At 47.2% G+C, this 16839-nt stretch overlaps 1 protein-coding gene and 1 pseudogene across 2 annotated transcripts in view, besides 4 other annotated features; both read left to right on the top strand.

The window, feature by feature from the left end:
• SLC12A8 (solute carrier family 12 member 8) overlaps window positions 1–16839 on the top strand; it is a 130105-nt gene that overhangs the window by 80290 nt on the left and 32976 nt on the right. For both annotated transcript variants that reach the window (NM_024628.6, NM_001195483.2), the window contains 2 exons: window positions 11773–11860; window positions 13603–13690. In NM_024628.6, the coding sequence (NP_078904.4) occupies window positions 11773–11860; window positions 13603–13690 (176 nt within the window). The remainder of the gene's footprint in view (window positions 1–11772; window positions 11861–13602; window positions 13691–16839) is intronic.
• Window positions 10519–10738: an enhancer, noted in NCBI's record as "active region_20417". NCBI's record gives its function as "activates an Ori minimal core promoter by ATAC-STARR-seq in GM12878 lymphoblastoid cells {active_cell/tissue: GM12878}" and the evidence as "EXISTENCE:reporter gene assay evidence [ECO:0000049][PMID:35858748]".
• Window positions 10944–11449: an enhancer, noted in NCBI's record as "NANOG-H3K27ac-H3K4me1 hESC enhancer chr3:124839854-124840359 (GRCh37/hg19 assembly coordinates)". NCBI's record gives its function as "activates a minimal SCP1, AML or CMV promoter by ChIP-STARR-seq in naive and primed H9 embryonic stem cells {active_cell/tissue: H9 hESC(naive and primed)}" and the evidence as "EXISTENCE:reporter gene assay evidence [ECO:0000049][PMID:30033119]".
• Window positions 11450–11956: an enhancer, noted in NCBI's record as "NANOG-H3K27ac-H3K4me1 hESC enhancer chr3:124839347-124839853 (GRCh37/hg19 assembly coordinates)". NCBI's record gives its function as "activates a minimal SCP1, AML or CMV promoter by ChIP-STARR-seq in naive and primed H9 embryonic stem cells {active_cell/tissue: H9 hESC(naive and primed)}" and the evidence as "EXISTENCE:reporter gene assay evidence [ECO:0000049][PMID:30033119]".
• Window positions 11959–12008: an enhancer, noted in NCBI's record as "active region_20416". NCBI's record gives its function as "activates an Ori minimal core promoter by ATAC-STARR-seq in GM12878 lymphoblastoid cells {active_cell/tissue: GM12878}" and the evidence as "EXISTENCE:reporter gene assay evidence [ECO:0000049][PMID:35858748]".
• Window positions 13259–13362, top strand: RNU6-230P (RNA, U6 small nuclear 230, pseudogene; annotated as a pseudogene).

Below are 16839 nucleotides of genomic sequence, written 5' to 3'. Positions count from 1 at the left end.
TTCTCCTTATGTCTACCACCTGACCACTCTGGTCCCAGCTTCATCTATCACTTGTATCACTGTGTCAGCTTCCTGCCTGACTTTTCTTAAGGCTCGGCCATGGAAATGAGCCTGGAACTAGGGCTTGGAAGTGGCAGGTCGAATCCTGGTCTACAAATCCAGATTTGCCAGAAATAGTGCGTCGCTTTCATTTTTATAAAACAAAAAGAGTCAGTCTCCGACTCTAAGCCTTCATTCTGCCAGGATGGCTTAAAAGTAAGAGCAGTAATTCAGCATGCCTCCACCTGCTCCTGCCATGCTCTGCACCAGCTCCAGGGGCTTAGGGTTTTAAACAGTACCCAGACATGTTTGGGGGGCTCTGCAATTCCTTATCTGTAAACAGAACCAGGCCTTCCCATTGTCCTGTCCATAGGGCCTTTCAGGTTTGTGCTGCCTCTGAGCCACGTTCAAGGACTGGAAATCTGAGATTGGGAACCCTATGCTTAGGGTCTATGTACTCCCCAAACCTTTCCTTCTGGGGGTCTTACCGGCTCCCCACCAGTACTGCCAGGGAGTTGGCGGGGTGGGGGTTCCAGGTCCTCATTTCCCCAGAACCTGGGAACAGCCTCTCTCTCTCCCTGCCCCCGACTCCAGAACCAATCTTCTGTCAAATATGGGGACACTCCTGTCCAGGGCCAGCTTTCTGGGTGTGTGACCTATGCATTTACACTGTCCCCACCCTGAGAAGGGACTCATGCTTGTTTTAAGGCTTTGCTGTTACTAAAATTCTTGGGCCCGGCCTGGTGGCTCACGCCTGTAATCCCAGCACTTTGGGAGGATGACGTGGGCAGATCACTTGAGCCCGGGAGTTTGAGACCAGCCTGGCCAACATGGTGAAACCCCATCTCTACTAAAAATACAAAAATTAGCCAGGTGTGGTAGGGCATGCCTGTAATCCCAGCTACTCAGGGAGGCTGAGGCAGAAAAATCACTTGAACCTGGGAGGCAGAGATTGCAGTGCGCTGAAATCGTGCCACTGCACTCCAGCCTGGGTGACAGAGCAAGACTCTGTCTCAAAAAATAAAAAAAAAATCTTAATAATTTTTGATTCTGCATTTGTATTTTTATGTGGCCCCACAAACTGTGTGATAGTTTTTCTCCTTGTCGCCTCATGTTTTCCCCAGCGATTCTGCTGTTTCTTTTCTGTTTCCCTCCAAAATCTTCTAAGGACCTAGGCTTTTGAGAAACAGAAGCCAAAACAGTGCACAGGCAAATTCTGCTTCCTCTCTGCCTCTTGTCTCCCACAAGACAAGAGAATATAGGTCAGCTTCCTCCTGAATGGACAGAAAAGGAAAAGGGAAAAACAGAGGGAATTAAACAAAGTTAACATCTGATGATGTTTCCCAGCCTCTCTTCCTCTTTCCTTCCACACACAAATTGAAAACCATCTGAGTGTTCTCTGGAGCCTGGCAGTGTCCCCACTGAGTGAAGACCCCTGGGCCAAGATACCAGGTTAGCATTTACCCTAGAGGCAGGGCAGAAGGCCTCTTTGCCTGGTCACACTGTGCAGGGAATGTCTCGGGCGTCCTCAGGTGCACCAGGGGTTTGTCTTGGCAATGTGGCCCTGATGTGCCCCTCCACTCTGCTCCCACGGCTGGCTTTCCTAAGAGAGAGGATGCCTGGTGTGAGTGGGGGAAGGGGGCGGTGAGCCTCCCCTCCAGCTTCTCCCTCCAGGCAGGAGTTAGCAGCAGCCTGAGGCTTGAAGGTGCCACCCAGTAGCCCAGAGTATGAGCTGGACTCACATGTGAGATCAGCTAGTCCAACTCCCAAGCTTTTGTCTTTTTAATCCGTATTTCTTTTTCTTTTTCTTTTTCTTTTTCTTTTTTTTAAGACAGGGTCTCGCTCTGTCACCCAGGCTGGAGTGCAGTGGTGTGATCTCAGCTCACTACAACCTCTGCCTCTCTGGTTGAAGAGATTCTCGTGCTTCAGCTTCCTGAGTAGCTGGGATTACAACAGCATGCCACTATGCCTGGCTAATTTTTGTATTTTTAGTAGAGATGGAGTTTTGCCATGTTGTCCAGGGTGGTCTCGAACTCTTGACCTCAAGTGATCCACCCGCCTCGACCTCCCACCTCCAAAAGTGCTGGGATTAGAGGCATGAGCCACCATGCCTGGCCTATATTCACTTTTGATAATGATACTAAAAGCCTCACAGACACTGGACATTCTGGCTCAGAGATGGAGTGTCGTTGTCCTTCCGCTGAAAAAGCTATAGCTACCTAAGACGATGAGTCAAGATTTATTTTCTGTGATTTAAATTATGAGTATTATTTTGAAAGCTTTCAAATGTAAAATGATAATAGCGCATAGATTGTAACTACACAGGCCTCTCTGCCCCACCCCTCTTAGGGGACCTGCTTTCCTGTCCCTCTCACTCTCATTGGCCCAACTGAGGTGAAGAATCATTGATCTGATCCTTTATTTTACCAGCTGGGGAGGAGGGGTGCAGAGGAGCTTATGAAGGACCCGACAGAGGTCACGAAGCTGATTAGTGGCCAGAGTTGGGCCGTCACCCTGCTGTGGAGAGCTGCCCTCCGTGTCTCTGTCTCTGTTTTTCAGGGCCCCAATTGTAAACACAATAGGCAGGACGAATGGTTTGTATGACTTGCTGTCTCCTGGCAGATGTTCGGTTAAGCTATGAAAAGCATGGATGATTGGCAGTTTCCATGGTGATAGATTTGCTAAGGATTAGCTCCGAGTGAGTCATGGCTGGGGTTCCCTCCAACACCATCCTCTTCTGGAACAAGAGAACCTCCAGACTGTGGCGAGGAGAGAGTTTTGATGAACAAACCCTTCTGTCCCCAGCCCCCCATCCTCCTGACAGAGATATGATGGTTAAGTTACTTCAGATATTTTATCCCAAGGGCAGGCAGCTTCCTGGGAAGAGCGGCTGGAGATTCGGTCTGGTGCTCCTCTGGATTTAGGAAGCTGTCCCCCTGCCCCCTCACTGCACTCTTCTCCATTACACCCTGTGCTGGTGGCTGCAGGGGTGGAGTGGGGGGAGCTTGGAGTGGATGCTGTACTTGCTTTGCTTCTTAAAGTGCATTCCTTCTCAAAGTGCATTCCTTCTCCAAGCTCCACTACCAAACTTTCCCTGAGAAGCAGACATCTCCTCTCCAGGGTTTCACACATACCATGTGGATGCAGCCACTCCAGGGATCCAGGAACACGATTCACAGAGGAACTAGGAAATGGAAATTCACTGAAAAGAATATCAGTCATGTGAAGTCCTGTAACCCTTGTTCCCAGATTCTAAACTCTTACTGGAAGGGATAAGGGCCTCTTTGGCCACAGCCAACACATGGGCCTGTGGTTGACCACACCCAGCACGAAAAAATGTGGTAGGAAACCTACAGCCTTTACTGAAATGTCCACAGTCACCTTCCTTTTCAAGAACCCAGCTATTTCTGTGATGCCCTTTGACCTCCCTGGGCCTGACTCCTCTCTCCTGCTCATGTACACACCCTGGGAAGCTCTGGGAATTTGCTGGGCCCTCCAATTGGCTGGCTGTCTCCAGGCCCCTCAGCCCGGCTGTTAGTGCTCACCCCTCCTCTGGCCTACTTCCCCCATTCCCCCCTCCTAGGCGTCCCCTGGGTCTCCTCACAAGTTATGTGTCTTGTGAGTGAGAGGACAAGAACCTGCTGGATCAGAATGGGGTTCCCATGTTTAAGGACTAGAGAGCCCCAAGTAGGGACAGTCTGAAGATGGGGGCTCACTCCACTCCCTTCATTCTGATGGACTTATGGGCAGAAACAGGAGACAAGAAGGAAGCTTTGGCTGGGTGCAGTGGCTCAAGCCTGTAGTCCCAGCTACTCGGGAGGCTGAGGCAGGAAAATTGCTTGAACCTGGGAGGCAGAGGTTGCGGTGAGCCAAGATTGCATCACTGCACTCCAGCCTGGGTGTCAGAGTGAGACCCTGTCTTAAAAAAAAAAAAAAAAAAGGCCGGGCGCGGTGGCTCACGCCTGTAATCCCAGCACTTTGGGAGGCCGAGGCGGGCGGATCACGAGGTCAGGAGATCGAGACCATCCCGGCTAAAACGGTGAAACCCCGTCTCTACTAAAAATACAAAAAATTAGCCGGGCGTAGTGGCGGGCGCCTGTAGTCCCAGCTACTTGGGAGGCTGAGGCAGGAGAATGGCGTGAACCCGGGAGGCGGAGCTTGCAGTGAGCCGAGATCCCGCCACTGCACTCCAGCCTGGGCGACAGAGCGAGACTCCGTCTCAAAAAAAAAAAAAAATAAAAATAAGCTTAGGCCGGGCACGGTGGCTCATGCCTGTAATCCCAGCACTTTGGGAGGTTGGCGGGCAGATCACGAGGTCAAGAGATCAAGACCATCCTGGCCAACATGGTGAAACCCTGTCTCTACTAAAAATACAAAAATTAGCCAAGCATGGTACATGCCTGTAGTCCCAGCTACTCTGGAGGCTGAGGCAGGAGAATCACTTGAGCCCGGGAGGTGGAGGTTGCAGTGAGCCAAGATCACACCACTGCACTCCAATCTGGCGACAAAGTGATATTCCGTCTCAAAAAAAAAAGTTTTATAATTATTATACATGTCTATTTTTTGTAATTTTATTTATGGAATTAATTTATAATTGTTTTATCAAAATAATTATACATATCAACAGTTTTTATCAAAACAATTATAAATATCGACAATACTTATTATCATTACAATAACCTATTATGTCAGCCACTAAGCACTTTATGTATAGTTTTCTGTTTAAACTTCTCCACAGCCTGACTGGTTCCATCAGACACAGGGCTGCCATGAAGTGGTTGAAGCCTGGGCTTCAAGGTCCCTCACTTGCGTGAGCTCCTTCCAAAGCCTTGTTCCTAATTTTATATTCATAATTTTGTACTTTCAAAAAAATTTCAGGCCGCATGGAACCTAGATCCTCCCACAGGTTCTATTATTTACCCATTTTACAGATGAGGAAACAAAGATTTAGAGAGGTTATTTCCCCAACATCTCCCAGCCAGTAAGCGGTAAACCCCGTTGCTTCCCATAAAGAGAGAACACATAATGTTGGTGCCGCCCCTCATCCAGAAGCCAATAAATCTTGCCTGGGTCCTGGAGTTGGAAAGTTGCATTATTTGACACTGTCTGTCCCAGCAGCATCTCTAAAACATTGAGAGGGAGGGAAACTCACAAGTTTTGCTCCAAGAACAGAGCAAGACAGGTTTAGAGATTTCTGCAGGAACAGCTGAACAAACCAACCAACAAGCCAGGTATGGGAAAGGAATGGGGTTTGGAAATCAGAAGGAAGGTAAAGAGAGGCAGACCAGTCTTTAGGAATCTGAGGGATTTCTGAGTAAGGAGCAGAGCCCATCTCTCCTGGGTGAGCATTTATTTAGCACCTACAAGGTGCCAGCCACTGTGCTAGGTGCTTATGAATATCTGTTCCAACTTCACCACAGTCCTGCAAAGCAAACAGTATAATCCCCATTTACAGGTGAGGAAAGCAGGGCTCAGAGCCACATTGCCACCAAACAGTAATAGATCCCTTTTTTCAGTTAAAAAAAAAAAGGCAGCAGATGAGACTTGGGCACGTTAGTGCATGTGTAGTCTACCTTCATAAGAAAGAAAAATAAAGTTATGAACTTAGAAAACAGGCAGCAGAGAAACGATTAAGCTATAAATGGAAAGAAAAAGTTGAAGAGTTTCTGAGGACACAGATTTGGATTGAAAAGTCCCCAGGAGGAATCTTGGAAGTTCCTTGAGAAAGAGTAAGTAGTCCTTTATGAACTAACAGGAACCTGAAAAGCCTAGAAAAACTGTTGGGATTTTCTTTTCCTACTAATCTTCATTTTCAGGAACAGAAAAGGGAATTGGGGTGGGAAACGGGCTTGTGGTAATTGGTGATAAGTAAGGACTTTGATCAATGTGTGCCACTGGGTGATTCAGGGGGCAGGGAAGAAAAGAGATGACCTACCCACTTGCAAATGTTGGTAAGTGGTCATTGACATTTACACTGGTTATTTTACCCAAGGATATATTTTTGAGAGCTATAAGGGGTTGATTCATTTTCTGGCCCTCTATGTCTTCTGTGAGACCAGACACTGGAAGTAGGCGCTGACCCCAAGTCCCCTGTTCACCTGGTGCCATCCATCGAAACTGTAGGTGTGATGTCAATGTCTAGGTGGCTACGGATGCCACTCGAGGTGTAGCCTCATAAACCTAAGCTGGTCAAGTGATGGCTGACACCTTCAGACTTGCATATCAAAACTGAGACCATAAATATGTGCCTGAAGGCCCCAGGACTGGGGTGGAAGACCAAGCCAGAAGGCTTTCCCCATATTAAGGAAGCTGTTTACCTAAGTCACATGGTAACAGTGTGCAGACCAGACAGATCATCGTTGTGATGCAGGGAGAAAAAATGTTTTTGGGTAAAGCAATTAACTGCTTCCTGGAATTGGCGTTTAAAACCCAGAAATGCCATCAATCCAGCACTGTCTAGAGATTAGGAGCTGGTGATGCAAGTGCCTGTGGCGAAACCAATGCATCGCGCCGATTATAACTGATAAGCTCAGCCTTCTTGTGGGTATGTAACCCCACATTAATCATGCAATTACTATTTCAGAAGGGGAAATCTACAAAGAGCAGGGGTGTTAGGAAGAAATGGAGAGGCTATGTGATGTAGTGGAAACAACACTGACTTGGAATCAGGAAACTTGAGGGTTAGTGCTGGTTCTGTTAGCAATTAGCTTGGAACACTTGAATCAAATGGCTTCCCTTCTTTGGGCCTCCGTTGCCTCATCTGTGAAATAAAAGGTTGGAGTAGATGATCGCTAGGGTATCACCTAGATTTAAGAATCATGATTCTAAATAACTGTTTTATTTTTTATTTTTATTGTTTTTGAGACGGAGTCTTGCTCTGTCACCCAGGCTGAAGTGCAGTGGCGTGATCTTGGCTCATTGCAACCTACGCCTCCCAGATTCAAGCGATTTTCCTGCCTCAGCCTCCCAAGTAGCTGGGACTACAGGTGCGTGCCACCATGCCTGGCTAATTTTTTGTATTTTTAGTAGACGCGGGGTTTCACAATGTTGGTCAGGCTGGTCTCCAACTCCTGACCTCAGGTGATCCACCCACCTTAGCCTCCCAAAGTGCTGGGATTACAGGCATGAGCCACTCCATCCAGTCCTAAATAGCCAAATTTAAACAATTTTTGGAAGCCCGCCAAGAAAAGTGTCGAGACCAAATAGTAATTATAAAATGGGCACTGAGTGTTTCCCAAACTGTGCTCTGTGGAACTTTAATAATGAAGAAAGTTTTCATTTCTTTAAAAAAAAAAAAAAGGGTTCAATGCCAAATAAGTTTTGCGAAACTGTGTGCTGTATTTCTCTTCTTAGAGATGGACAATGAATATTAGCATATTATAGGCACTACAATAGCCCAGCACCGAAAACCTCTCTAATTAAGGTTTTCCCAACCTTATTTTCAATTGTGGAACTTTTTAAAAAATGTAATATTTGTAAAACACCTGGGCACTAATGCTCTGGGAAATAGTATTTGTTCTATTACGCCAACCCTAAATGTAACTCTAACCTTAATGATAGTGTTTTAAAATTGCACTGGATGCAAAAAGAAAGCAAACTAGAGAATTTCTGTGACACTTAACACAGACAGGAAAAAAATACTAAGTCAAAATAATTTTTCTAGCTCTAACTAGTGAATGAGACATTTATAATTCACCGAAGCTAGGGAACATTGCCCAAGAATTGTGTGGTAACACAGAGGTAGAATTTTGGAAATGACAGCCACAGTGTGTGAGCCCCTATAACAAATGTGCAGGCCAGGCACGGTGGCTCATGCCTGTAATCCCAGCACTTTGGAGGCCGAGGCAGTCAGATCACCTGATGTTAGGAGTTCGAGACCAGCCTGGCCAACATGGTGAAACCCCATCTCTACTAAAAATACAAAAATTAGCCAGACATGGTGGAAGGTGCCTATAATCCCAACTACTTGGGAGGCTGAGGCAGGAGAATCACTTGAACCCAGGAGGCGGAGGTTGCAGTGAGCCAAGATCACACTATTGCACTCCAGCTTGGGCGACAGAGGGAAACTCCATCTCAAAAAAAAAATCCAAACAAACAAACAAACACAAACAAATGTACACTTTGCTGTGGGAACCACCCACATTGCCCCAGCAGGAATCACCCGTGAGACTTCTTGTCTGCAGTCCGAGTTGCCTGCATCTCCTTGTTTCTGGCTCTTTGTGTCTGTGATATAATCTACTTTCTGGCTTCTCTGTTTTGTCTCAAAAGCCAAGTTTCTGGCCATATCTGGGCCTGGCTCATTCCTGTGTCACGGTCAGTCCTTTCTCCTCCCACTGAGCAGCATCCTAATGTACTGCACAACAGGCAGCCTACACAGAACCTGGGGGAGGAGTAAAGGGGGTTTGTTATGGAGACAGTAAGTGTTTGGAAGCAGGAAGCAATTAGGATGAATCAGTCATTTTCCTCCACAGAAGCATATATTGCTGTGGTGTTCTCAGGGGTCTTCATGGGTTAACTTCTGTATAAAAGATCTGAAGGAAGGTGTACAAAATGACCTGACAAACTGTAGGAGGTACAACAATGGCGAGGAATAAAGAGCACTATGTCATGATATGGTTTGGCTCTGTGTCCCCACTCAAATCTCACCTTGAATTGTAACAATTCCTATGTGTCGTGGGAGGAACCTGGTGGGAGGGAATTGAATCATGAGGGTGAGTCTCTTTCCCGTGCTGTTCCCATGGCAGTGAATAAGTCTCACGAGATCTGATGGTTTTATAAATAGGAGTTCCCCTACACAAGCTCTCTCTCGCCTGCTGCCATGCAAGACGTGACTTTGCTTCTCCTTCCCCTTCTGCCATGATTTGTGATGCCTCCTCAGCCATGTGGAACTGTGAGTCAATTAAAGCTGCCTTAGCCTCCTGAGTAGCTGGGATGTGTGTACCACCATGCCCGGATAACTTTTTTATTTTATGAAGAGATGCTGTGTGGTCCAAGCTGGTCTCAAACTTGTGGCCTGAAGGGATCCTTCTTTTTTTTTTTTTTTTTTTTCCTGAGATGGATCTCTGTCACCCAGGCTGGAGTGAGTGGCATGATATCCGCTCACTGCAACTTCTACCTCCTGGGCTCAAGTGATCCTCCCACCACAGCCTCCCAAGTAGCTGGGATTATAGGTGTGCACCACCACACCTGGCTACTTTTTGCATTTTTAGTAGAGATGGAGTTTCACCATGTTAGTCAGGCTGGTCTCGAACTCCTGACCTCAGATGATCTGCCTGCCTCGGCCTCCCAAAATGCTGGGATTAAAGGTGTGAGCCATTACACCCAGCCTCAAGTGATCCTTCTGCCTTGGCCTCCCAAAGCGCTGGGATTACAGGCATGAACCACCACACCTGGCCCTTAAATCTGTTGCATTTTTAATTTTAATGATCATATTTTTAATTTCCAAAAGTTCTTTGTTGTTCTTGGATTTTTTTTCATAGCACCTTGTTTTATAGATAGAATATTCTTCTTGGATGTACCTGGAGCTACTAATTAGTGTTTTCTTCCAAATTCTCTCTGTATCCTGATTTATGTTTCTTCCAGCCTGGGTTGTTCTGTTTCTATTTATGCGTGTATTTGTTTATTTGTTGCTGGTTTTCATCACACATTGGGTGATCTTGGTTGTGGGCATGGATTTCCCCAGCTGTCGCATGGTTAGGTCTGTCTCCCTGCTGGGGCCCTACCTTGATGAGAAGTTTGTGAGTGCTGTTGATTCTTGAGCAGGGCTTTATTTGGGGTGCAAACGTCCAGCCCTGGTTTTCCTCAGTGTATTGAGATCTTGTAGAGAAGCATTCCGAGGCTTTCTTTCCTTCTCTTTTCCTCGGTATTATATTCTCCATTTTCTATGTTCTATGTTCCAGACATTCATGGGAACCTTTCATCTACTTAGGGTCCTCCTCCCAACTTCTCTTTGCTTATGGGAATTTATCTACTTTTCCCCTTTACTATGCTCTTAATAGGATCTTGGAGAGGAGGGAATGAGAGGAAAGAAAATGTGCCTAACAGGCCGTTAAAAACAAAAACAAAAACAACAACAACAAAACCTTAAAAGTTTTCACGTTTCAAAATGATCATTGTAGAAAATTGAGAAAATATAAACAGTCAAATAAAAATGACCTGTTCTTTTATCACCCAGAAATAACATTGTTAATGTTTTAAAACATGTTCCAGTTCCTTTTTCTATATATTTTTATAATAATGGGATCATACCATGTGTTCTGTTTTCTAATATGCGTCTTAAAACTAAGCAAAAGCTTCTAAACATCTTTCCATGTCACAACATATCCCTTACAATATTCTGAGACCTAGTATTTATTGAAAGCTATATCATCACTTATTTAACCAACCCTCTATTTTTAGACATTAGGTTGTTTCTAATTTCCACTATTCTAAACAAGCGTTTATAAACACGCTGGGCTAAATCTTCCCTCATAGCCTTGACTACCTACGATGGGTAAAGTCCTCATAGTGGAGTTGCTGGGTGACAGTATATGCACCCCATCCGCGGGCCAGCATTCAGGGTTCTCTCTGAAATACACCCCCCTACTTTCACTTTCTGGTTCCAAACTGTCACTTCACTGCACTTCGCTTGGATTCTGTGAAGCATTGTAGCAGAGGCATTAAGAGCATAATTTTCAGAGTCAGACAGACCAGGGTTGAATCTTAGCTTTGCTGCTTATTAAATGTGTGACCTTAGGCTGTTTTAATTAACCTCTTTGAACACTTTTCCATAAGATGAGGAAATAATTCTACCTTTCTGATGAGGTTGTTATGAGAATTAAACAGGATAAAAAAATGCATGTAAAGCACTTGACACAGGCCCAGGCAGTTTGAAAGTGTTCACAAATCATGGAGTTAGATTCATTCCCATCCCTAAGCCCATTCAAATCCCTCTTTCAAGGCCACATTCAAGATACAACCCCCTCCACGGGTCTTTCCTGACCAGGGCAGCCCATCACACTGAGTTGTTATGGCACTTGTGGGCTGGATCCTCATCCGATGTTCAGAACACCCTGTCTTGTTGCTTTCATATATTTGTTTGTATGGGAAGAGGCAACATCCCCACTTCACCATGCAGCACTGTGCTGTGGGTCCCTCATGGATTAATTCATTTTCATTAGTGTTCTTGCAGAAGAGAGGTGATGATGAAAAGGAGCTTGTGACTCCATGTCAGTGGCATCAGGATTGGTTTTTTTGGAGTTTATTTCAAGCCCTTTGGTAGCTCAGGGGCTTGGAGGATGGTACCTGACCCCGAGGACACAGGAAGCTCCCATGGAATCAGCAGGCAGCAGAGGCAGGGAAAGCTGCTGAGCAGGAGGCTGCCAGACCTTTGTAATGCTGAGCCTCTCCAGGGCATTGTCCCAGCTCAGCAGGCAGCGCAGGACCTCTGTGTGCCTTGCAAGCCGCTTTCCTCCCCCCTGGTTGCTTTGCGCTGAGCGGTAGGATGCTTTTGGAGCTGGGAGGGCTTTCCTCCTGAGCCTCCTCCAACCCACAAAGGTGCCTTTCACGCCACAGGGATGCCTCCCTAGTTGCCAGGGGAGATTGAAAAGCAGCCTATGCGCAGAGCTGCAGCTGGAGGGCTTGCGGTGGGACAGCTTCCAGGAGAGGGTCCCGCAGGAGAGGAAGGGGCAGCCCTGGGGAAGGCGATGCGTGGAGGAGGCTGCTCACCCCATTCCCCATCTGGGTGTCTTTCAGGAGTCATGGCCGGCTTCAACATGGGGGGCGACCTCAGGGAGCCTGCCGCCAGCATTCCCCTGGGCTCCCTGGCAGCTGTTGGCATCTCGTAAGTTCCCCTCATGGCAATCAGTCTGAGCTAGAGAGTGGGAGAGAAAACCCCAGGCAGAAGAGGGATTGCCCCTTTTGTTCTGAGAGTGCCCCGACTGTGACCAATCTATTTCATATTCCGATCCTTCTTTTAACACTCGGTGGGCTGGAAAATTCACGTCTGGTGGGTTCAGACACTGCCCTTTCATGCGCCCTGCCTGGGAATGCTGCCGAGGAGGAGTGTCGGGACCCAGATCACAGATCGAATCCTTTCTTTCCTTTCCTCGGCCTCCCGCCCCCGTCCCTCCCCCACCCCCATTTTGAACTTGGGGATTTTTTTAACCACCGAGTTTCCAGGATCACTGGAGGGAGCATAAAGATGAAGAGTTTTGCAATCAGACGAATTGGGGCTGCATCTCAGCTCTGCCGCTGATTGGCTGCATGACTCTGGACAATTTACTGAGTTCTCTGAGCCTCCATTTCCTTTCTTGTGAAATGGGGATAATGACACTGTATGTGCTTCCTAGATTGCGGCGGGGAGAGAAGGCACACAGTGGAAGCTCAGCACCCAGCTCTTCTTCTTCCCCCAGTGAGCCTCCCCTCCAGCTCCCCCAGGCCGTCAGGCCTCTGGGGTTTTAGTTCACACTGTGCCACCCACACAAGCAGGCTGGGTAACCTTGGGTCTATTTCTGACCTTTTAGAATATTGTTTCTCTCTGTACCACAGGAAGAAGCTTCTCTGCCCTTCATTGGGTAGGTGTGAAGAGGCAAAGAGATCAGAGACCAGAAACAATGACTTGAGAAGTTAAAAGGGCCTGTGTTATTCTAACCACAGTATTTAGAAAATATTAATGTATCTGTTTCACAAACACTGAATTTGTTCTTAGCTTACTGCAGTGAAACCATTGCTATCAGCCTGGCGTACAGCATCAGGGTATTTTGTGCAATAACATTGGGAAGAAAATGAAGACAACAGAGATAGAGTTGAGTGTTGGGAAGGAAATAAAAGAAAGAGGCTTCTGAATGAGGACCCTGTCTTGTTTCTGGCCCCAGCTGGGAGGTTCCAGGAGGAACCCTTGGCCCATCCTCTGATTACCCAGATGGGAATGAGGAGACCACAGGAACCTGGGTCTTGTTCAAGGTTACAGGGCATCTTGGGGACAGAGCCAGGCCTCTGCTCTCTGCCTTTTGACTTTAGTTTCCCTCTTTATTATCTGATCCAAAGATAACAGACCAGCAGGACTTAGAGGCCCGAAGGATCATCAGCTTGTTCTTTTGCTGGAGGAGGCTGGGGTGTGAGGCTGCGGGGCAACCCTGGCCTGAATCCTGGCAACCTAGAGGCAACTGGGCCTCCCACTTCCCTACTCGGAATGCCCTTTGTATGTTTTTCTTTTTTAATATAAGAAAGAGAAAAAAAACTGCTCACTTCAGCAGTACATACACTAAAATTAAAACAATACAGAGATTAGCATGGCCCATGTGCAAGGATGACATGCAAATTCGTGAAGTGTTCCATATTTTTATATATATTTAAAAGTAAAAAAAGAAACAAAACAATGGTACCCCTTTTTTGGTAAGAAATATGCCAGAAGAGAAATAGTACAAAAAGTGTCCTCCCAAGCCAGCTGGGGAAGCTTCATGACTGGCCTTTCTCTCATTCTGATACAAGTTCCCTTTGGAAACAGAAGGTTGAGTGAGGGAATTGGATGGGGCTGGGTGAGGTGAGTCGGGGGCAGCTCTGTTCTGCTCTTGGGTTTTGCAGGTGGTTTCTGTACATCATCTTCGTCTTCCTCCTGGGCGCCATCTGCACTCGAGAGGCCCTTCGCTATGACTTCCTGATAGCGGAAAAGGTGAGTGAGGCCTGCGCTACTCCAAGGGCTCAGTCTGCCGGAGTCATTTATTTGTTCTCACCAACAAATGGCCACCTTCCCCTTGCAGTACTGTCTGGGAATCCATATAGTCTTTTTAAAATTTAATTAATTTATTTTTTGAGACAGGGTCTCACTCTGTTGCCTAGGCTGGAGTGCAGTGTTGCAATCTCAGCCCACTGTAGCCTCAACCTTCCAGGCTCAAGCAATTCTCCTGTCTCAGACCGCCAGGTAGCTGGGACTACAGGGGCATGCCCTCATGCTGGGCTAATTTTTTTTTTAATTTTTTGGTAGAGATGAGGTCTCACCATGTTGCCCAGGCTGGTCTTAAACTCCTGGCCTCAAGTGATCCTCCCACCTTGACCTCCCAAAGTGCTGAGATTACAGGCGTGAGCCACCACGCCCAGCCTTCATATAGTCTCTAGCCCAGGACTGAAGTGTTGGGTTGTGGTGGGGAAGAGACATGATGGAAAAGGTACAGGCCCTGCTTAGGGATTTCTAGAAACAGATAATGATGCCCAGAGGGATTCACAAATATGAGGGGCTAGATAATGGGGACATCTCTTCCTGTCAAAAATCAGGACAGAAACAGAAGAATCTGCTCACCCCAAATTCCCAGTTAAGCAAGTGCCTCACTTTTGCTAATAGCTTCACCTTCCACAATGAATCAAATGTGCTGCTCAGAAGTGGCAAGTGGAGAAGGAGGCTGGACAGGCAGACGTGGAGGGAGCGGGCGGAAGCCCAGTGCCAGGGTGAGGGCCGAGGCCCTCCTTGTCCCTCAGGTCCTTGACCCCTTTGGCTTTCCTGAGAGTCTCAGACATTCTGGGTTGATTTGGCTGCAACATCTTTGTTTCTAGAGTCTGCACCCTGCCAGGAGAAGATTAATGAATTCCTGGCATTGGCTGGAGGTCATCTGACATCAAGGACATTTATTTGGCATCCTAGAAGCCACATGAATAAGATTTCCAGATATTTTTCTGGAAATCCCCAAAAACTCCCACCCTCCTTTAAGTTCTTGGAGAAAAAGTAGACCCTGAGATTCCCATCATTTTTCAGAGAAATGTAGTTGGTTAGGGAGTTTTTCTGTGAACTCCTGAGTATCACTGCTTATATTTTATGTATTTTAAATTTTAATATTTTAATTTTAACTTTTTAAAGACAGGGTCTCACTCTGTCACCCAGGCTAGAGTACAGTGACGTGAACATGGCTCATTACAGCCTCAACTTCCAGGGCTCAGGTGATTCTCCCACCTCAGCCTCCCAAGTAGCCAGGACTACAGACATGCACCACCACACCCAGCTATTTTTTTTTTTTTTTCAATTTTTTGTAGAGACGGGGTTTCGCCATGTTGCTCAGGCTGGTCTCAAACTCCTGGCTTTGAGTGATCCTCCCACCTCAGCCTTCCAAAGTGCTGGGATTACAGGCATGAGCCCCTATATTTTAGGATAGACTACCATTTTCTCTTGGTGTGAGGCTTTGCAAAGCAGCCCTGCTGGTCTTAATGGAGGGCCAGTGCCTGGGGCAACCTGGGGCAGGAAACTCTGAATTTTCTTTTGAGAGATATGTTTGAGCTTGGTTTTCACATTAGCACAGGTTTCTTTTTAAGGCTTGTAGGCACCCATGCAAAGGTGATTATTTGTTTTCAAGGGTCTTGCCCTTAGTATAAAAGCAGATTTTTTGGAAGGCAGTACAGTTCAGTTAGTGAGAGAACTGATACCCACTTTCCAGTACCCAAGGTCACAGACCCCCAGGTGGCAAGGTTTGCTCTCAGGGCAGGAATCTATAGCCCTCATTTGTATCTACATGCATGCTTCCGTCTGAAGTTTCACTCCCAAGGGCCTGTTCTCTAGTTGTGGAATGAAAAGCTTGGCTGCATTACAGGAATTGAAGGCCTCAGGGAGCAGACTGGGTGAGGCTGGTTTGACCGAGGGAAATGCTTCCTGCTCATCTGCAGCTTGCCAGTGGCTGACCAGCTCTGCCTGCTTCTAAAGTTCCTTTCTCATGCTTTCCTTCACAGAGGTCCTTCCACCCTTTAGGGACTCTGATCTGATTATCCCCTGGGCCGCAGCTCTCCTCCCTCCTCTCCTTCCCCTGTTTTTCAAGGGAATGATCAGAGTAGGTATATGGGAGGGCAGGCAGCTTTGTATCTAAGGAAGGCCACAAACAGCAGTAGGGTAAAAACAGCCCAGAGACAGCACATGAGAGCCTTTGTGGGTGGAAATCCCACACCTAATGATAGGCACACAAACCGGGGGAGCCTCCTGTGGAATGCCACCTGTCCCGACAATGAGCAGGTAGGCAAGCACTTAGCCAGCTGGGGGCACCTGCTTCATCAGGCCCAGCAATGACACTTGGGAATGTAATTATGCACACACTGGGATGAAATGTGGAGATTTAGTTTTCGGAGAGGACAAGAGACCATTCCCTGGAAGAGACCATTGTAAAGCCTATAAAGGAACAAAGCTACTGCTCTTGGTTCTCAGTAGAAATGGGCAGGTGCAGCAAGTCAGTAAGCAGTGATGGAACCGACCCTGATGACTTCAAAATAGCAGCACCTGGGTCTTCTGGTTCCCACTACCCACCCCCTAAAGGGGACCACACAGGAGTTTCCTCCCACACCTTTTCTGCTTTCCTGCTCACTGGTGTCGCTCCTTGGGACTGACTCCGCTGCAGTAGCAGGTACCGTGCTCAGGCAGTAGATTGGGCCACAGATGTTTTTACTGGCAGTACCTGGAGAATGGGAGGGTGCAACCTACACTGGTTGGGAGGTGCAAGGGCGGAGTTTCTTTACTTTGGTCACTTGACACAACCGGCCACCCTGATAACCTGTTCACCTCAGCTTCCTGTCTTACTTGTGGCTTCAGTTCTGAGCCGGCGCATCTCTGAGCTTTCCTGGGCCTGAAAAAAGGCCTCTTCTGTATGTGTGCCCCGCGCATCACCTCTGGACACTGAGACAGGGTGGGTCTCTGACATACTCTCCTTGGCGCTCGTTCACAAGCAGCTCCCAAATGCACTCCTCTCTCTCGGGGGCTTTCTGCCAGAACAATTATCTTCAATGGCTGCAGGCTGCCCTGGATTCCTTTCTACTGATCTGCAGCTGGTCAGTTAATCTGTTTCTTTCTGGGTTTCC

Source organism: Homo sapiens, chromosome 3, assembly GCF_000001405.40.
Source record: "Homo sapiens chromosome 3, GRCh38.p14 Primary Assembly".
Lineage (NCBI taxonomy): Eukaryota > Metazoa > Chordata > Mammalia > Primates > Hominidae > Homo > Homo sapiens.
The sequence above is the reverse complement of the archived record's forward strand: the minus strand, read 5'-3'. Positions and strand labels throughout refer to the sequence as shown.